At 41.3% G+C, this 21,679-nt stretch overlaps 1 protein-coding gene across 2 annotated transcripts in view, besides 2 other annotated features; it reads left to right on the top strand.

The window, feature by feature from the left end:
• Positions 1-21,679, top strand: part of FRMD4A (FERM domain containing 4A) — a 687,219-nt gene that overhangs the window by 219,595 nt on the left and 445,945 nt on the right. The window contains exon 3 of one of the 2 annotated variants that reach the window (NR_134578.2): positions 14,192-14,320. The exons of the other annotated variant lie outside the window; for it this stretch is intronic. The gene's annotated coding sequence lies outside the window, so the exon portion shown is untranslated. The remainder of the gene's footprint in view (positions 1-14,191; positions 14,321-21,679) is intronic. 2 annotated transcript variants of the gene reach the window in all.
• Positions 12,269-12,768: an enhancer, noted in NCBI's record as "H3K4me1 hESC enhancer chr10:14140561-14141060 (GRCh37/hg19 assembly coordinates)". NCBI's record gives its function as "activates a minimal SCP1, AML or CMV promoter by ChIP-STARR-seq in naive H9 embryonic stem cells {active_cell/tissue: H9 hESC(naive)}" and the evidence as "EXISTENCE:reporter gene assay evidence [ECO:0000049][PMID:30033119]".
• Positions 16,699-17,389: an enhancer, noted in NCBI's record as "NANOG hESC enhancer chr10:14135940-14136630 (GRCh37/hg19 assembly coordinates)". NCBI's record gives its function as "activates a minimal SCP1, AML or CMV promoter by ChIP-STARR-seq in naive H9 embryonic stem cells {active_cell/tissue: H9 hESC(naive)}" and the evidence as "EXISTENCE:reporter gene assay evidence [ECO:0000049][PMID:30033119]".

The raw sequence follows: 21,679 nt of genomic DNA, 5'->3' as shown, positions 1-21,679 counted from the left end.
AAAAAGCAGAATAAATAAATCGAGGGTAGAATATTGCCTGTGCACCTGGAGGACATTATGCTAAGTGAAATAAACCAGTCATAAAAGGAAATAATGTAGGATTCCACTTACATGAATTCCTAGAAGAGTCAAATTCGCAGAGACAGAAAGCAGAATGATAGTTATCAGGGGCTAAGCTAGGGTAGAGAGGGAATAATTGTTTAACGGATACAAAATTTCTGTTTTGCAAGATGAAAATGTTTAGGCGATTACTTGTACAACAACATAAATGTAATTGACACTACTGAACTTAAAAATAAAGAAGGTAAATTTTATGATATGTGTACTTTCTCACATTTCTTAAAAATTTTTAGCATGCCTTTAGTCCCAGATACTTGGGAGGCTGAGGCAGGATAGCTTGAGCCCAAGAATTCAAGGCTGCAGTGACCTATGACTGCACCACTGCACTCCAGCCTAGGTGACAGAAGGAGACGCTATCTCTAAAACAAATAATAATAATAAAATAAAATACACAGAACTAAAAAATTTAAATAACCATTAAAAAGAAAAAAGTAACTGCTTGTGAAAGAATTCTGAGGTATGTTTGGCAGATTAAAACATTTCAATGGTGGCAGAAGAAAAATGCCTCTGCAGTGGTTTTCAGATAACAAGGAATTTACAGGTTTTTGTTTTGTTTTGTTTTGTTTTGTTTTGTTTTGTTAGCAAGAAAGCTGCTCTAATATATTTCAGGTGACTAGATGGACCATTTTTTGGAGTATCTTCCAGTCTTGCCGTCTCAATAAATGGGTGAATGCCTCCATTGTCCCGAATGTTTATTTCTGCATTCTCATCTTGAATAATTATAAAAGAGAATAGCCTTACAGATCACTTACAATTTATAAAATCTCTCAAGTTTGCTGTTTTCAAAGACAGGGATGTCCGTGTCAGCACCCCCGTTTCCACATTTGATCATGGGCAAGAAGGAATTTTTTTTCTTTTGAGTGAATTCTTTTCATTATTTTCATGAACCAGTTTCTCCTTATTTGATCTTCTAAACTAGACAAAGTTTTGGATGACCTTTTTATAAAATCCTTCTTCTATATTGGACAGCAGTTTGTGTATGCATACTTGTTTTTTTTTTAACCACATCTGTAGTATTTTCTATGGCTCATGGATAAAACACTTAAAAATAAAGAAAAGAGCTTTTTTTTTTTTTTTTTTTTTTACAGCATCTCGCTTTGTTGCCCAGCCTGGAATATAGTGGCGCAATCTCAGCTCACTGCAGCCTTGACCTCCTGAGCTCAAGTGATCCTCCCACCTCAGCCTCCCGAGTTGAAAACCTTTTTTACTTTTTTTTTTTTTTGGTGGGTTTGGGGGAGGGAGACGGAGTCTTGCTGTGTGGCCCAGGCTGGAGTGCAGTGTCGTGATCTTGGCTGACTGCAACCTCTGCCTCCCGGTTCAAGCGATTCTCCTGCCTCAACCACCTGAGTCGCTGGGATTACAGGCGCCCGCCACCACACCCGGCTAATTTTTGTAGTTTTAGTAGAGACAGGGTTTCTCCATGTTGGCCAGGCTAGTCTTAAACTCCTGACCTCAAGTGATCTGCCCACCTCAGCCTCCCAAAGTGCTGAGATTACAAGCGTGAGCCACCGAACCTGGTCAAAGCATTTTTAAGAACTGGAAATAATGTAAACTTCTAGGCATTACATTGAGAAGTTGACACAAATTCTTGATGAATTTTGCTCCAATTTTTCTGGCAGCTTAGACACAAAGGGAAACACACTGGATTATGTATTTTGTTCTGCGGCAGGAGAATATGTTCAAATTTAAGTGCAGGGGATGACAGCAATTGGGACACTCTATTTTTATGTCCTTTAAAAGAAACAACTATATATCTGTTGCCTTTTTCGTGTAACACTCATTTTACATTCTTTTGCTACTCTCTTCTCCTTCTTTGCAGAACTTTCACTTTCTTTGTAACTTTCATCCAACAGTGAAACAAACTGGAAATTATGGTCTACTAAGGAACTGACTATGGAAGAGAACAAATGAATGATTCCTTCTCAGGTTTTTCAGGGTACAATATCTCACCCATTGCTTCTTCTGAGAAGCTTCTTTGGAGGCTTTTTTTTTTTTTTTCTGAGATGCTTTTATTCAACCAGTATCTCCCTAGTCCATATTTGTTTCTCAGTCAAGAAACTATGTAGATGTCTAATCTTCCAGAGGGTGAGGAGCTTGGAATCTCTTGGGCTCTTCAACCCTTGGAGAGCCTTTCATGTAAGTGAAACAAATAGAAAGTAATAAGAGATAGGATATGAACAATAAGGTGGTAAATTGAATGTTATCAAGAAAGTACAAAAATGGGTGACCTTATCAATAAGTCAGAAAAGTGTGAAAAATTACATGACCTACAAAGATCTGGGAAGGTCTCATGGCAGCCAGAGACTTTGAGATTGTAGGAGTCCATAGGAATTTTGCTCTTGCCTCTTTCTACTTTTCCCCATTGAGTTTGTTTTTGTTTCTATGGAGTAATTTTCTTCTATCAGTCCTTTTTCATTTTATCCCTGCCCTTCAGGAATTCATTCTATTTCATCTCTTTAGCAAATATGAGGGGCATATCATTGATTCTTCAATTCTCTGTCTTATTTTTCCTATGCGAAAACCCAGCCTTTAAGTGTGTTCTTTCTCCAAGGCTATTTTAAGCAAACCATTTCCCCAGTCCTTCTTTTTGCTAAACAGGACTCCCTAATTGGGTTAAGTTCTTGATGAAGAGGTATCTGGTTTGTGTTGGTACAGAATTCTCATTTGAGTAAATAGTGAAGCTGTATACACATGTTCATTAAGGCAACATTCCAATTCAGACCCATTTCCAATCACATACCCCAGATATGCCAAAGAGTTTAAACCTCAGTCCTCATAATACTACTTCTCAAGTGTGCTGTCCTAAAGTAGAAGAGATTTCTAGAACCTTCAGACAGATTTGGTGATCAGTGCCCCCAAGGATCTGCTGAATAGTCTGCTCAAATGCACTTAATCAGTATCACAAAATACAACCCATAAATTAAGGCTAAGTGATGATGCATAGCTTATGAGTTGTTTTAAAATGCACTTATCTGAAAATAGAGCTGAAACTTAAGAAAGATGCTGGTCTCGCTAATAGTAAGAGAAATGCCAATTAAAGCGACATGAAAATGCCATTTCTCTCTACAGAGGGAAAAAAAGCCCACAGGTTGGCAATGAATTTTATTGGAGAGACCGTGAAGAATGAGGCACTTGCAGAGATTGCTGGTGGGAATGTAAGAAGGTACAGCTTCTATGAAAGGGAATTTGACAACATGTATAGCAAAATCACATATGCATTTACTCTTTGGTCCACTTCTGGAAATCTGCCCCTAAGATGGATTGCCAAAAATACAAAAACACTTATTCCTAAGGCTACTCTTTGCAGCATTATTTATCATAGCAAAAGAAAAGCAACCTGGAATAACCCAAAAGTCTATCCATTGGTGTCTGAGTAAATAAGTTGTGGTCCAGCCGCATGAAAGAATATCGCATAACTCTAAAAAGAAATGAGCAACTCTTCTATGTACAACCATAGAGTGATTTTCAGGATATATTATTATATGCAAAAGTGAGGTGAGAAAGTATATGCTGTTTTCTAGAAAAGGGAAGATATGAATATATACACACTTTTATTTATATTTTTAAAATACAGCAAAGTTCACCAATCACAAACACAGAATGGTTAACTGGTACCCACAGGAAAAATGATGCAGCAAAGTGAATGAGATAATGATAGAAGCTATGAGCTTTGGCTGTATCTTGTCTCAGAGATTTAGAATGATATAAACATGTTGCATAAATATTAAAAAGTTAACTTTAAACAACTCCTAAATATTTTTTAAAAAATCCTAAATATACATCGGTTGATGGCATAAACACACAGGGAGGAACTATTTAAAGCAACTTTTGGTTTATTTTATTACAATTTCAACTTTTATTTTAGATTTGGGGGTTCACATGCAGGTTTGTTACACAGGTATATTGTGTAACACTGAGGTTTGGGTTATAAATGATCCTGTCAGCCAGATAGTGAGCATAGTACCCAATAGGTAGTTTTTCAACCCTTGTCCCTTCCCTCTCTCCCCTCTCTGGTAGTCTCCAGTATCTATTGCTCCCATCTTTATGTCCATGAGTACCCAGTGTTTGGCTCCCACTTAGAAGTGAGAACATGCAATATTTGGTTTTCTGTTCCTGCGTTAATTTGCTCAAGATAATGGCCTCCAGCTGTATCCATGTTGCTGCAAAGAACATGATTTCAATCTTTTTCATGGCTGCATAGTATTCCATAGTGTATATGTACCACATTTTCTTTATCCAGCCCACCATTGCTGGGCACTTAGGTTGAGTCCATGTCTTTGCTGTTGTAAATAGTGCTGTGATAAACATACGAGTGTAGGTGTATTTTTGCTAGAATGATTTTGGGTATATATCCACTAATGGGATTGCTGGGTCAAACGGTAGCTCGATTTTAAGTTCCTTCAGAAATCTCCAAACTGCAAAGCAACTTTTATGTCATAGCGATTTCATTATACATCCCAAAAGACAGAAAGATCTTTTTAAAAAAATCTGAAATGATTACCAGTCACTTTGGTGTTGGTAGTGGTGATTTTGCTTTTCTGAGGCTGTCATGTGAGTAGTGTGGATAAAGCAAGTGAGAAATGGTGTTGGTGACATTGAGATCCAGATTTTTATCATGTGAGAAAAAGGAAATTGATGAGATTGTGTAAAACTCTAGTCCTGATTTTGAAATGGAAATACCAGCATAAATGTATGACTTAATTTATACTTAAAAGAAAATACTTTAAATGTCCCAATTTTGTATCCTGCAAAGTCCTAGAAACAACCAATCCAGTAGTAATTAGTATTCCTCACTCACCAGTGATGGATCTAGATACTATTTCCCACTAAAAAGAACCAACCCCCTTAAATAAATGGTCACACCAGGAAGCAAAGAAATTAAATGACTACTAAGAGTGTTTCAAACAGATTCAGGAGAAACTGAATAGTTCTTATTCCTGGGGTCAGACAATTTGATCCCAAATTAGGATAAAACTGTAATGGATGAATTGAAACATATCAAATTTGTTTGACTCCATAAATGAATAATGATGCTTTAAATAAATTCATCAGTCACATTTGGATGATGCTAGGCATGGTAAAAATTGGTGAATTTTGAAAATTGGTGAATAAAGGGGAGTTTCCTGTTGTGGGTATATTCTAACTAATAAATGATATAGGAATGATAGAATAAGAATGACAACATTTGCAATCCCTAAAGAATTAATGGAGTTAGGCAGAGATCAACAGATGATGATATCACAAAAAGAGAGCAAACCAGACATATATAACCCTGGGTGGAAGGAGATACCACCACTGATAATGTAGTCTTGCCAAATTTACAAGAAATACAGGAAACAGAGGAACATGATAAACAACACCACAGAGATTCAATTAGTAAAATCCAGATTACAGGAAACTGTAAAAGCAAATGACCCAGTGTGTTCAAAAAGATTTGCAAGAAAAAAGGAAGAAATTGGGGAAATCTATAGATTAAAAGTGAAGCGAGACATACCAGTCAATCACTATTTATGGACCTTATCTGGAACCTGCTTCAAACAAACCAACTTTTTCAAAAACACACACACAATTAGGAAAGTCTAAGCACCATTTTAGAATATTAAGAAATTATTGTATAAGAATGGCATTATGGTCATTTTCTTTAAATCTCTATCTTTTAGAGATGTAAACTACAATGTTATAAGTGACAATGTATTAATTTATATAATAGTCCATTAAAATTATTTATAGTAACTCCATTAATAATTTTATAGAGAGAAGATATGGAAATGCATATCTAATAAACTTTATTTTTTATTTTTGTTTTTGTGGAGATGGGGTCTTGCTATGTTGCCCAGGTTAGTCTCAAACTCCTGGGCTCAAGTGATCTTCTGGTCTTGGCCACCCAAAGTGCTGGGATTACAGGCATGATGCGCCATGCCCAGCCATCTAACAAACTTTATTTTATTGCTTAAACTTATTGTTTTCAAGCTTATAAATGACAATAAATTTATTGGGTGTCAGGAGGCCTGAAGAAAACAAGTGACCATGAAAAGAGCTACGACCTATAGCTCTTCAAATGACCCATCTCTTATGGTCCAGGCTTGGCTCCAGAGATGCAGTGATGAATAAGTGGAACATGTAAGCTGAGGTTGTGAGAATGAGAGAGACTCCACGCGTAAGGATCTGGGATGATGGAAGGGCCCTGCGGCGTGGGGACCCCGTGACCAGAAGTCCTGCCACAGTGGAGGAGAGCTTGGTGTAACTGAGTTCATTTGGATCCCTCAAACACTGCCCAGAGCCCTTGAAGGTATCTAAGGGCACACTTCTCAGGCCTGCCCCCATACCACACTCAACTCAGAATCTTTCAAAGGCAGCTGCTCTGTTAGGCTTGCCTGAGATGGTTTGGTTTTCCCTGGATGGGAGAACCACACACAGTGAGAGCTCTAGGACTAAGTTGAACCACACGAAATCGCCAGCTTCATGGGCCCACACTGGCCGAAGGTTGGCAATTTCCCTTGCTCTAACCTCAGCATTCTGAGTGCCAGGACTGGCTCGTGGAGACCAGAGTGGCTGGGGAAATTCTCTTGGCTTTGTGTCTCACTGGCCTTTCTACTCAGGTCGGGCTGGGGTTACAGCACAGATGGGGCCAGGGCCACTGAGCGGGGCCACCGTAGAGCCTCAGGGACAGGAAGGCATAGATAGGCTCTGTGTGGCCTCACCTTCCCTTTCTGGGGAGTAGAGCATCTGGAAAGAAAGGAAACCCGCTTAGAGAAGTAGATTGGGGTTCTAGACTTGAGCAATTATATGCGCAGAGACTGAGGTCTGGTGTAAATCAAAGTAAGAGATCTAGAGCAGGGAAGTGAGCACCACAGTGTAGACCTCAATGGCAGTGTAACCTCGATGGCAGTGTAGACCTTGATGGCGGTGTAACGTCGATGGCAGTGTAGACCTCAATGGCGGTGTAACCCCCATGGCAGTGTAAACTCGATGGCAGTGTAGACCTCAGTGGCAGTGTAACCCCCATGGCACTGTAATGTCGATGGCAGTGTAACCTTGATGGCAGTGTAGACCTCAATGGCAGCGTAACCTCAATGGCAGTGTAGACCTTGATGGCGATGTAGACCTCGATGGCAGGTGGAATGTGGGAAGCACATAAAACATGGGGGGAAAATGAGAGAAGACCTTTCTCTAAGCCAGCATTTGCTCCAATTTACAGCAAGGAGGACCTGGTACCTTACCATACCTTGTCTGTAGTTGGTTGACTTCAGCTTAGTAGGAATCGCTGACGGTACGTAATTCTTTTAGCTTAGGATGGGTTCAGCCATTTTAAATTCATCATTTCAATGTGATCTTTATGAAATTTAGAGTTTAAAAAATTCTACTCATTGTCATAGAAAAAAGATAGATGATAGGGAGGGAGGGAAGAAAAACATCTCAGTGACCTTCCAACTAATTATTCCAATAATGACTCTGGCCATAGGGCGGGCAAGTGAAATAAGGTGCCCCTTAGAGTGTGCTGCCTTATCTTAGCAATTATGTACTAATGAGAGCCTGATATTTGAAATAAATACACTAATGATATCAGTTCATTTTACATTCAGCTTCACATAATAAAAAAACTAATGCTTACTAGATGTACTGATAGTGGCTTAAACAGGATAGATATTTATTTCTCTTTTGCGACAAAAACAGTCTGCAGGTAGTTAATCCAGGGCTGTTTTGGAAGTTCTGTAGTCAACAGAGACCCAGGCCTCTGGTATAATTTTGCTCCTCCACCAACCTCAGTGGATCACCTCACAGCCCCAAATAGCTACTTGAGATCCAGGCATCACATCTGTATTCCAGGCTGCAGTAGGAAAAAGAGAGAGAAGGTTACCCCCTACCTGTTTCAGGAGATTTCTATTAAGACCCCATTAGGTAAAGCTTAGTCACAGAACACATCTGAGTGAGGATGCATTTGTACAATATTTTAGATTAGATGGGCATATTGCTGATCTGATTAAAATGAATGTTTTCTTACATGGAGAAGAGAATGAAGCATCTTGGGGTGGATGCTGGCCATCTCTTCACTTCAGCAGTAGGGCCTGCTGTTGGCCAAGGCACCTATGTGACGGAGAGGCTTCTGTTATGAGATTAGATAGGAACGACACCCACGTAGAACAAAAAGTAAATCCTTTCCTCCCTCCAACTTTCTCCTAAGTGCTTTCAATTTCTTATAGGCTGGGTTTTCAATTCCAGGAAAATAAAGCTTCAGAAAGTGGCTGTGACAGGTTGCCCCACATGAAACCTCCCATGCACGTAATCACTGTGCCAGATATAACTGAGAGCTAATTTCATATTTCCTGCCTATCATATTGGAAAATTGAGCTGTCAGATCTCTTTAAGGACTACATGCCAAAATGAGAACTCCCAAGCCCTTCTCTTCGCAATTCATTTCTGCAGGACTTTTTTTTTTTTCTCACTATCTTCAAGACTCAAGAAAGTTGTACTAGAAGCCAAATCCATCTAATTTGAGTAAGCTTTTGAAGTTCAGATATTTGCTGTGGATAAAATTGAGAGAATTTACAAGGAAAAGCTTCTCTGAAGTATCCCTTCCCACTAAAAGTCCCTTCATTTCCAAAGCGTTTCAAACTTTGGGTTGTGAGATAACCACTGCATTGTGGGAGGTCGGCTTGGTTCTCGGCCCTCTGTGTCCAGAGCACCCTGACATACCTGTGCAATGAAGAGCTGGGTGAATGAGAAATAAGTAGGGAATTACTCAATGTGTCCGCCTCCCGGGTTCAAGTGATTCTCCTACCTCAGGCTCCTGAGTAGCTGGGACTATAGGCCTGCGCCACCACACCCGGCTAGTTTTTGTATTTTTAGTAGAGATGGGGTTTCACTATGGTGGCCAGGCTGGTTTCAAAGCCCTGTCATCAAGTAATCTGCCTGCCTTGGCCTCCCGAGGTACTGGGATTACAGGCGTGAGTCACCGTGTCTGGCCCAGTGCATCTGTTGAATGTGATTAAGCTGCATGCTGTGAAGGTATTCCAGGAGACTTACAGCTGGTGAGGAAACCTTAGGCTCCGTCATTTAGGAAAGAATCTTCCAATCTATGGACCACCTCACTTGTGTTCTTTTCTTGTAGCTTTTTCTGAGCTCCTTTGCATCCTGCGTTTTCCCAAAAGGTACTTAACTGGGTGGAAACGTGCATCTTCTATTCCCAAAAAGCATGGTAGTCTACGGGTTGGACTTAAATCCAGTAAAAGCAGCTTAATTTTTTTCATTAAGTTCTATAAATAACTGAGTAATGATGGTCATCCAATAATTGATGGGGGATATGTCTAAAATTAGACAAGATGCTCCTGAGAGGATATCCCAAAATGAAGAGGAAGGGAAGAGGAAGAGAATATACCTCTGTGCTTTGCTCTGTGAAGAGTTTATGGGCATTATTCAGAAGGAGAGATGTGTTGTGTTGTGTTGTGTTGTGTTGTGTTGTGTTGTGTTGTGTTGTGTTGTGTTAGAAGCCAGGCATATTTGAAGGTAGAAGCTCACCAGCATGGAGATGGTGACCATAAAGACCAGGTCCAAATATGGATAAGGTATGACATAAGTAGAACGTGTCATCAATTTTCTTTTCTTCTCCTTTCTTCACCATTTTCCCCATCATCTGATGTGCTATATCCCTAGGTTCCCACTGTTATTTTTCCCTCTCTCCTCCTATCTCAAAAGATGTGTTGAAACTAATTCACACCTAAATTGGAATAGAGCATAAATGAATGTCCGTGGAATTTCAGCCAATGGTGAGTATCTAGGGTCTCTTGAGGAGCAGACTACCTAGTCCTATTTTATCTACTCGTAAGACTAACCCCGCAGCAAGTAATTATTTTAAGAAAAAAGTCTGGGAAGTGGCTAAGCAAAGTTAATTATTGCAGACCAATTCTGTGAGTTTCATTGCCCGCAGGAAGGATCACTGTAGAAAGTTCTGGGAGATCCTGCAGTCGTCATGTGCTATAATATTGACAAGAGGATTATGAAATCACAGGTGAGAAGACACCTAGCCCAGAAATTTTCAAACTTTTTTGTTATAAGTCAAGTGTTTTTAAATAGAAATAGTATGGGGGAATCTTAAAAGGTAAAACATATAATAGATAACACAGAGCCGTTTTGGTAGAAACCTGGGGTGGTTCAGGGCTAAGGGGTTAGGGAATGTCAGAGGTTCTTGGGGAAACCCTGGAGTTTGGGGCCTGAAGTCCAAACATCACAGCTCCATCCAACCCACACGTTGTGAGGACCCAAAAGCTTGGGCTCTGAGATGCCGAAAGACTTGTACAAAGTTAACACAGAGTTAAAACTGTATCTAACACTCAAAACTTCTAGTTCAGAGTTTTTCCACTAAAGTCATCAAATGATTGATTTTCCCTTAGATATTTACTTTTTCTGTAAATAGCTTTTCTAGAAAAGCTAAAAAGTATAGGAAGTAGGGTGGGGGAAATGAAATCCACCTAAAATCCTATCAATCAGAAATATATATATATATATGTTCTATTTTCAGCATGAAATAATCTTCAATAATCTTAACTTCAACAATCTTGAACAGATTGGCTTTTCTCATATTGATTCACTGTGCAGCTTATCCTAAGGCCGGCAAGTATATAAAATAAAATATCCCAGATCCTAGACTGTAACTGCATATGGAAAGGTTGACGTCTTTCATTTATTCAGACTTTTAAGGGGTCGGGGGGAAATAGGGTGGAAAAGTCATTTGAAACAGCTCTTCCTAAAAACCTCTCTAAGTTTCCCAGGACCCAAACCCAGCCTATCCTTGCAGATAATGATAGAATCATTATAATGATAGAGTAATTTGGAAATATTTTTCACCAGGAGTTTTTCTAGGTGTTTTTTTCCAAGCATCCAAGAGTCTCAAGCTCTGGCTGCCATCGAATATTTATAATGAATTCTTTGAAGCTCCAGCATGGATGCTACTTCAGATACAAAACTGATAGAAAATGGAGACGTTTCCTTTCACCACATGCGATAAGTGATTTTAAATTCATAAGTTCAGGTGAATCGAGACACTGGAAATCGAGACAGTGGAAATGAAGTTGACATAAAGGACAGAGCCAGCCAGGCACCACAACTGGGTTTGCTGAGCTGACTGCAAAACAAGGAGTGGATGAGCCGCCTGTCTGGCACGTGGGGGTGAAAACCAGAGATCTGTGCTGTACCCCAGTGTTTGTATAAATGGCAGGGACAGAGAACTGAGGAAAGAGACAGACAGGGAACGGAGGGAGAAGGTACTCGCTCAGAACCCAGGCCCTAAAGCCAGGTTGCCTTGGGTCAAACTAGGCTCCAGCTACTTGGTAAGCTGAGACTGGAAGATCACTTGAGCCCAAGAGTTTGAGGCCAGCCTGGACAACAGAGGGAGACCATGTCTCCAAAAGTAAAAAAGTTAAAAAGAAATTATCAGGCTCCATCATTTTATAAGTTATTTAATCTCTCTAAGTAGTAGATATAAAAGGGACCATTAAAAATTACACCACTCTTTTGAAAATTTATTAAGTAAATACAGCTGACCCTTGCACAACATGGATTTGAACTACACAGGTCCACTTACACATGCTTTTTTTTATCAACCAAAATGAGGATCAAAAATATCATATTCACGGGTTGTGAAACCTACATATAAACAGGGCCAACTTTCGTATAGGAGTTCTGCAGGGCTGATTGTAGGAGTTGGGCATGCCTGGATTTGGACATAGGCAGGGGTTCTGGAATAAGTCCTCTCCATACCCCGAGGGATGGCTATGCACGTACACACTTAAAGCAGGATTTGCCACATAGTGTTTGAGAAGTCATAGCTATTCTGATCGTAATTATCTTGGAAGTTTTCTGATTTTTTTTTCTCTTCTGTCTCTCATCTCTTTTCTAACTCTGCCCTATAAATTGAGACTATATTGAGCGTTTTACTGTACATATTAGGAAGAGGTCATTGGAATTATATCAGGACTAGGAGTAAAAGGAAAGCTGAACCATGGGTATGGGCTTAGGCCAAATGTCAGGCCTGAGTGTGACAATGATGGAGTCTGAGGCTTGACCGAGGTGGAGGGAGGCCTATATACCTGGATGTCCTCAAAAACCGGATCTAAGAAAGGGCATAGAATTCCCCAAGGCAAACACAAACAGCTTCCATTTCCTGAATCCTGTGTGCTAAGTGGAGTGCTCCTGGGATTTCACTGGATGCTCTCAACAATGCATGTTTTCAGATGAAGAACAGAAGGCTTAGGAAAGCTACACAGGTAGTCCAAGGTCCTACCACTGAAAAGCGGCAGAGCTGGAGTTCCAATCCAGGTTCCATTGACTCCAAAGTTCATATGCACGCCCGCTATGTTGTACTGTGCCAGGAAAGCAGGACAGGTCGGGTCCATGGTGTGAGCGAAGGTCTCAGACCTTGTGACCATTGAACAAAGTTGTCCACATGGGTGCTAGGGAGGCACTAGGGTAAGAGACTAGATTGGGGGGTTCTTGAGAACCATATTCAGGCTGGGCGCGGTGGCTCACACCTGTAATCCCAGCACTTTGGGAGGTCGAGGCGGGCGGATCACGGGGTCAGGAGATTGAGACCATCCTGGCCAACACGCTGAAACCACGTCTCTACTAAAACAAAAATACAAAAAATTAGCCGGGCATGCTGGCAGGCACCTGCAGTCCCAGCTACTCGGGAGGCTGAGGCAGGAGAATGGCGTGAACCCGGGAAGCGGAGCTTGCAGTGAGCCAAGATCGTGCCAGTGCACTCCAGCCTGGGTGACAGAGCGAGACTCTGTTTCAAAAAAAAAAAGAAAAGAAAGAAAAAAAGAGAGAACCATATTCAGAAGTATTTCCTTTATCAGTCAAGGAAATGTTGAGAAATGTTGCGTTGAGAATATTGGAGAGAATGATATGATCTGCATTTTAGAACCACAACTGTAATGGAAATGTACAGGAATGGATTTACTAGAGCAGAGACAGGAATTAGGGGTGACCAGTTTGAAGGCTGCCACAATAATCCAGTGAGAGTATTCTAGACTTGGAAAATAAATTATATATAATATGTATAATTTTTATATATAATATATAATTTTTATATAATATATATAAATTATATATAATCTATAATTTATATAATATATAATTTATATATAATCTATAATTTATATAATAAATAATTTATATATAATCTATAATTTATATAATATATAATTTATATATAATCTATAATTTATATAATATATAATTTGTATATAATATATATAATTTGTATATAATATATGTAATATACAATTTTTATATATAATTTATATTTTATATAATGCATATTGTAAATTATATAATCTATAATTTATAAATTATTATTGACATATACGTGTTCAAGAAGTCATAGCTATTCTTATCATAATTATCTTGGAAGTTTTCTGATTTTTTCTCTTTTATCTCTCATCTATTTGCTAACTCTGCCCTATAAATTTAGACCAGAATGAGTGTTTTACTGGACACCCTAAAATATATAAAACTAAAACTAGTTTATATATAAACTAAAACTAACTAGTATATATAAAACTAAATACCTAAGACATAATATATCTATAAGTATAATAATTAAGAGCACTAAATTTGGAATCCAACAGTCCAAAGTTTCCGTCTCAGTTCTGTCCTATGTTAGCTGTTGAACCTTGGGCAATTCCGTTTCCTCCTCGGTAAGGCAGACAGGTAAGATTATCTTAAAGAACATTGTGAAAATTAAGATTAAAAGATGATTCACTTAAAAGCATTTAGTACAGTTGCCTAGAACGTAGTTAGTGCTCAGGAAATATGAGCTACTTTATTATCATCACAATAATTATTATTTCTTACTTCCTTAATCCTTCCTGTTAGCCAGAGAACAAAAGTCTGCAATCAGAATGAATTTTTTAAAACTTCACTGTGACTCATTTAAGCAATTAAAATTTTTCAAAAATTCTATTTCTAAAATTTACTATAGATAGAGAATCCATAGCATATATGCCAGGATGTCTTCCACAAATGACACCTTTTCTTTTCTTTTCTTTTTTTTTTTTTTTTTTTTTTTTTTGAGATGGAGTCTCACTGTGTCGTGCAGGCTGGAGGGCAATGGTGCCATCTTGGATCACTGCAATCTCCAATCTCTGCTTCCCGGGTTCAAGCGATTCTCCTGCTTCATCCTCCTGAGTAGCTGGGGTTGCAGGTGCCCACCACCACCCCCGTCTAATTTTTGTATTTTTAGCGGGGATGGGGTTTCACCATGTTGGCTAGGCTGGTCTTGAACTCCTGACCTCAGGTGATCTGCCTGCCTTGGCCTCCCAAAGTGCTGGGATTACAGGCATGAGCCACCGCACCCGGCCTGCTTTTTTTGTTCTTTAGTGAATGAATAAGATGTAATGCAGCTAAACATAATGTAGGTGGGAAAGAATGCATTGTTGTAATGTTCCCATTTCACTGCTTCTGTAGCTCATGCTCAGGTGTCTCTCCTGAGTCATCAACTCCTGCAGAGCAGAGTTCAGATCTGCCCACTTATTTTCATGGCCAAGCAAAGTGAGTCCCCTGCAAAATTAGCTGCTTCAACCTTTCCCTCTTTAGGTGATTTATGTTTTGTAACTTTGGGGTGAATTATCTAATATTGAAAAACTTACTTATTTGCAGAGTTGGGTTAAGAAGTAATTATTTGCCCCAAAGTTGCCTAGATTTCTGTTAGGAACTCACATCTGAGCTCCCTACATCGAGTGGGATTTTGAGATCAGAAGTCTCTCTCCATAACTGTTGCCAGGGAAAGAAGTCAATTCAGCAGGTGGCTTAGTCAGTTCAGGCTGCTATAACAAAATATCTTGGATTGGGTAGTTTATAAGCAACAGAAATTGATCGCTCACAGTTTTGGAGGCTGGGAAGTTCAAGATCAAGGCAACAGCAGATCTGGTGTCTGGTGAGGGCCCGTTTCTCACAGATTGTCCCTTCTATGTGCCCTCACATGACAGAAGGGACAAACAGGTTCCCTCCAGCCTGTTTTATAAGGACACTAATCCCATTCGTGAAGATTCCACTTTCATGATCTAATCAGCCCCGAAAGTCTCACTTCTTAATACCCACGTGTTGGGAATTAGATTTCAACATATGAATTTTGGAGGGGAACAACCTGATCACAGCAGAAGGCTTGGTGCCTTTTTTTCCCCAAGAACAGGATGGCGAGGGTTATTTTTACAGCCTCTCACAACTGGGCACATATGATCCAAATTCAGAGCATTACTGTAGCATTCCAGTTTTCCACTTGCGCTCCTTATGTCTTCCTGTTCATCTTCTGGTTTTATTGATTCGTGGACAGTGAGTGCTCTGGCCATTTCTATTGGTGTGGACTTGCCCTGGAAAGGGACTCCCACCCTCTGGAAGAGGCCTCAGCATGATTAAACTCTGGAGAAGTGGGTCGTGTTTTGGAAAGCATGTTAGCTATGCTTATTTATATGCCACATCATATATGGGCTAAAACCAGCACATGTGGTCTTTGTTTCATTGCTTCCTATTGAACGTGGATTCGATCCAGCGTGCTGGAGAGGAATGATGATTTTGGAGAAATGGATGCAGTGAGCAACACTGGCCCACAGGCTGCAAAGTGCTAAGGTTGAGAGTGCGTTTAGAAGTGCGTATGTAAAATAATTCAAACTGCAGTATCCCGGCGAGGTGCTTCGGCTCTTTATGCATTGTTATATTAATAGCTTATGTCCCCACGGATAGTTCAAGCCTTCCAATTCAATCGACAACTGTAAATTACAATAAAAATGGCATCAAATCAGTGAGTGGCCCAGTGCCAAGTGACAGTGCCATTTTTGCAATGGGGCACATCTATTCTGAGCATGAAAGTGATGGCTAGCAGGAAGCACCCAGGCAGTCCCATGCAGAATCTTTTAAAACTTGAACTCGTTCCTGGGGAGAGAAACATTTACTCTGAAGAGCTGGTGGGGAGAAGTGTCATGAGCTGAATGGCCAGTGGTCTCCTGAGTGAAAAAAATAAATCTTAGAGTTTTATTTCGGCCTCATTTAGTTATTAAAATCATTGGTTTCTTTGTCTTGGTTTCCCCTTAACTATCACAGCGTTAAAACTCACCCTTCAGAGTCAATTCACATCAATAAGAGACTCAAAATCTTCAGTTCCTTCATGTTCATACACACACATGCACATGTGTACACACACACAGATATACATCCATGCATATGGATGTATGGATCTCTTGGTTCCCCCCCACACTCTTGGTTGACACACACCCACATACATACACATGGGCACACACAAGCATACACATTCATACACAGGCATAGATATACATACATGCACATATGTCCACACATGCACACTTGGCATGCATACACACACATGGGCCAATGGCAGTAGCCACTGCAAATCTTCAGTGCATCTTTCTGGGGGGCTGCAGAGGTATTAATTACACCTCTAACCTGAGCAATCTACTTCTCCAGCTCTTGCAAAGAACCTGGACAGAACAGAGTCACCAAAGATCACTCTTGCCAACTGCATGCCCAATAGAGAGAGGCAAGGTGGTTTCTGAAGCAGACAGGATTTTTCCAGCAGGGCCACATGGAGCCATGCAGGGCTCACTGAATCAGTACCATGCCCACCTCTCTCTTGCAGTTTTCTGTTTGGGTGTTGGAGGAACAGCATGGGTGACCCTGGGTAGAAGCTGCTCTGCGTTTGAAAGGAGACTACAGCCTTTGCATTCACAGTGAGAGGAGACTGGCCCACACCAGGGTTGGGAAGCAGGATAGCAGGATAGCGGCACATCATTACATTTCCATTCTAATTACCACTTGCTTCAGTTCTGTGATCGTCCCCCAGGGGGTCTCGTTAACACGGTTTTGATGCCTTCCATGTTGACTGGGGCTCCTGCACAGGCCTCATCATTCCACGCACCCTTTCTCTATACCAAGCCCTTAACATCTGCCCAGGATGGGCAACGCGCCATGTCGTCTGGCATTTGGGTTCAACCGAAGGGGAATCAAAGGGAACAGTCCTTGGTTCTTTTGAACCAGACTGTCAGATCAGAAGCCCAGAGCTGTCAGAAGTTGCTCACCTGAGCTGCTCCTTCCAGAAGCTTCCCCCGGGCAGGGGCTTTGTTAATGTGTTCTGCTCTGATGGGTCGAATTTCATTGTCCTTGCCACGGCCTTTTCGGCAAAAGCCTCCATCCTCCTGCTCCATTATCATTTGACAAGGCAAGTCACTGGTGAAAGCTGTTGTCTTTTAAAAAAGCATCTTCTTCCCAGCTATGGTTTCTTTCCCAGATAAATTCACTAGGTGGCAGTGAACAGTGAGGGAAAGAGGGCTGCTTTTGAAAAGAAATTCAAAGGCAAGCAGAATTAAACATTCTAGGATATCTAATTGTGGGTCGTAAACTTCCTTCTAAGAGTCATGGGCTGTGACATTTGTAACTAATAAGAGACAAACTGCAGCTTTAAGCAGGATATCTAGTCTCTATTAAATGATGAAATGCCATCTGCTCTTAGCACTCTGCTGATAATTTTATTCATAATATGGTTGAAATCAAAGACATTTGTTTATTGTCCATAAACATATTTTCTTTGCAGAAAATAGTGCATACAAGCAGGTCCCACTCATCCCGTCAAAGCCTTTATTATGTATGAGTGGGTGTGAGCATTGTGAGTGTGTGTTTTCTTTAGATGGCAAGTGAACCTCATGATTATGTCAAGGATTTAAGTGTCATTATTCTTTGATTAATTTCTCCATATAACCACCATCTCCCTTTCTCAACCAGGAAGAACCCTTTTTCTTCCTTTTAAACTCAATGTTTTCCTAGCAGGTAAAGCCTAGGATCCTATATTACTTCTGCTTTGGGAAGACTCTAAAATTTCGAATTTATTAAAAGACACTAAAATCTTAGTGCACACACTTCCAATTAGTTTATTTATGTGCTGCCTGGTTTTTAACCTAAATGCACTTTGTTCAGAGGGGAAGAAAACAATCATAAATAAACTGAAAAGTCAGTTTCCAGAAACTGCTGAGCCGTGCAGGCAGCCTGCAAATACCCACCTTGCTGGGATCAGGAAGGCAGGCACAGTCATTCCACGGCCTCTGTACCTCCCCTCTCTCATGTGATCCCCGTCCGTGCCCCCTACCCTGGCCTTGGCCTTGGATCCTTAGCAGAAGTGATGCAGGGAGCTCTAGTTCCAGCTGAATGCTCTTGGGCACAGCAGCATCACTGGGCCAATCATATTGACTTTACACTTCAGTCCTCATGACTGGACTGCTCCGCATTCCTGGCTGTTTCTCTATACCTAGGTCTCTGCTGTCCCCTAGGCCTGAGTCCCATTCTGGAGAGCAGTTGACCTCATCTAGTCCTATCTTGCTGTGGCCAGAGTCTCCAAGGCCTAAAGTCCCACCTTTATATCCCAGCCTGGTCCCGAGACCCACCTATTTGATGACAGACTCCCTCCTCGAGTGCCAGCCACATGCCTGTGAATTGCTGAGTATCACCATCTCCAGGGCCCCAATAGTGTCCTCCACTAAGTGGGTCACCACGATGTATCCCTTCGATGAGGATCACCCCTGCAAACTCCAGCTTTCTCTGATGTCTATACTCAATGAACACTGATGGAAGGTTACTATGTGCTAGACTCCGAGCTGGGCACTGAAGACACAGTGGAAGTAAGACACAGTCCCTGACATCAGAGGGATTACAGCTACCTCCAGTTTCTCATTTTGCCCTTGTGTGTTCTCCCAAGGCCAGCAACAGAGTCCATTCCCAGCCCTGCCTCACTGGGCTCCCAGTCGGCCCAGTCCTGTTGCAACCAACTGTCCTGGCTATGCCTGGCTGTGCCTGAAGACACCAGAGTGTGCAGCTCAATTTGGAGTGAAATGCTTTCAATCACTGTCCATAGGCAGGTTGATGCTGCCTTTATTCAATAGGAGAATAGAACCCGAGTGCTGAGTATTTACCCGGTCACTGTCTGTTGGGTTCTACGTGGTCAGGTGCCCCTAGTAGCCGGTTCAGTATGGGAGCAGACCTAAGAAACCTGCCTGACTCGGAGTGTGAAGCTTGGGACCACTCAAGCCCCACCTGGTTAACTTGCTGTAAGAGAGATTTGAGTCGGGGTAGAAAATGACCTTGCCTTAGCTTCAATCATGTCATCCAGAGCTGTGAGGTGGGGTTCAGGGGAATAGAAACTGTCCCTTGCTAAGAAGACACAATCATCTGAGGCCAAGTTTCTATATGTAGTGGACAGTTGTATTTTCCAGAATGGCTGTGCTTGTAATAATATGTTCATTTCCTTGAAAGGAGTAACCTAAGTTGTTAAGAACATGGGTGATTCCAGTTGGAGACTTAAAGATACATTTAATAAATCACATCATATACTAACTGAAAAGTAAATAAGTGCCAAGCTTCTATTGGTTTCCTCATTTCCCTGAGGCAGACAGGGAAAAATACCCAAGTAAGAAAACTAAGAATGGGCCAGGCACGGTGGCTCACGCCTGTAATCCCAGCACTTTGGGAGGCCAAGGTGGGCGGATCATGAGGTCAAGAGATCGAGACCATCCTGGTCAACATGGTGAAACCCCATCTCTACTAAAAGTTCAAATAATTAGCTGGGCATGGTGGCCCATGCCTGTAGTCCCAGCTACTCAGGAGGCTGAGGCAGAAGGATCGCTTAAACCCGGGAGGCGGAGGTTGCAGTGAGCTGAGATCACACCACTGCAGTCCAGCCTGGTGACAGAGTGGGACTCCGTCTCAAAACAACAACAAAACAAAACAAAACCAAAAAACTAAGAATGGAAATGTCAGTTCAGGAAAAGACACTCTTTAAAAAAAACCTTTATACACACAGCGCAATTTTTTCCTGCAGCTATTTTCTCCAAATTTGAGTTCTAGTGGTGTGTTGGATTTGTTTGCCTTTTTTTTAATGCCATGTGAGAGATACCTTTACTGCTGTACAGATGCACAGACACACAACATCTGATTGCTTTTTATTGTGCTTTTAAAAGATAAAAATCACTTAAGAAATTAAGTGAATTTTGTGGAAAGCTAGGAGTTCTCTTTTAAGAAGATTTTTAGGAATCTGAACATTCTTCCATCTCTTTTCTTGAAATCCTGTTCATGGCTTGCAGTTATAATAGGTCTGGTGTCATTCTAATGTTTTGCTGGTCTATGCTGTCAGGGACCTGGGATAGTGACTAGGTAATATTTCACAAGGCAGTCAAATGTTAGTTTGAGCTGGGCGTGGTGGTGTGTGCCTATGGTCCCGGCTACTCAGGAGGCTGAGGCAGGAGGATCACTTGTGCCCAGGAGTTTGAGTCCAGCCTGAGCATAGTGAAACCCTGTCCCTTAAAAAATAAAAACAAACATAAAATTAAATTTTCAAATGTTAGTCTGGGTACTTCATTTGTGTACTTCTCTTTAATGAAACCTGAAGCTCATGAATTTATATCCACGGCAGAAAGATTTGTTGCAAAATACTGAACCCATGCTAGGAAGTATACTTGACGCAGTTCATAAAGTTAGAAATAAACAGAAAATTACAAGTAGTACCCAGGCCTCATTGCTGTATGGTTCCAACGTTAACTGAGAACCCCCACTCTCTGGGCAATCGATGAAGGCTTTAGCATGGAGCGGCTGGGGGGATGCTGCCTGGCTCTAACCCAACCCCGTGCTCCTTCACCTGTGTCTGCATTTCCTTCCTGTGCTTCACTCAGGTGCCTGCAAAGTGCTGTTTCCATGATGCCCACGGGCTGGTTGACTGTCGTGTCCCCAGGCTCTTGTCCTGCAGCTCTGCAGTGCCCGGTCCTTTTACAGCGTCTGCCTTGACTGTACTACATTTACCAATTACGCTCCTAATCATCCTCCCACTTCTCTTCCTGTTTCCAAGTCCTAGCTCTCACATCTGTGTGGCACAGATCTACATGAAGTATTATGACTTCTGTGTACCCTGTGAATACCACGTATATTCTCTCCCGTGCAGCGGTCGGCCTGCAGCCCTCCAGGACCTCAGGCAAGAGCAAGAGTGTCTCCAAGTGCCACCCCGAAGACTCTTGTTCCGTTCCTCCTCAGAAGGCTTTTCCCTTACGGTTATTTCTAGATCCCTGCTATAAATATTCTCCCAGCAGCCATCTGCCCCTGCGGCAGAGTTTTACTATTTCAGCATGCTGTTTGGGTTACACACTCAGAGTGCTGCCATCCATTCTAGAGTTCTCCTCTCTTCTAGAGAATATCGGCCCTGCTCTGTCAGGGTAGAGCAAGATCTATTTTATTTTCCTGAAAAAATCTGTACAATATATACGAAGCAATCAGGAACTTGTGGGCCCATGAGGTTCAATCCGTGGGTTTATAAAGAGGACAGAGGAAACAAAACACGGTTTGGAAACTACCTGGACATTGGCACTGTGTGCCCCGGCCCCACAAAGCTGGACCAGTCCCATCTGATAACTCCACACTGTTGGTGATGGCGTCTCTCTACGGGCCGGGGAGGTATTTTCCCACAAGCGAAAATTTTCCAGGGAAACTACAGTCTGGTTCTTTTATTTCTTTCTTCTGTTTT

The sequence above is a fragment of the Homo sapiens genome, chromosome 10 (genome assembly GCF_000001405.40).
Source record: "Homo sapiens chromosome 10, GRCh38.p14 Primary Assembly".
Classification (NCBI taxonomy): Eukaryota; Metazoa; Chordata; class Mammalia; order Primates; family Hominidae; genus Homo; species Homo sapiens.
Note: the sequence above shows the minus strand (reverse complement) of the source record. Positions and strands in the feature narration are given on the sequence as shown.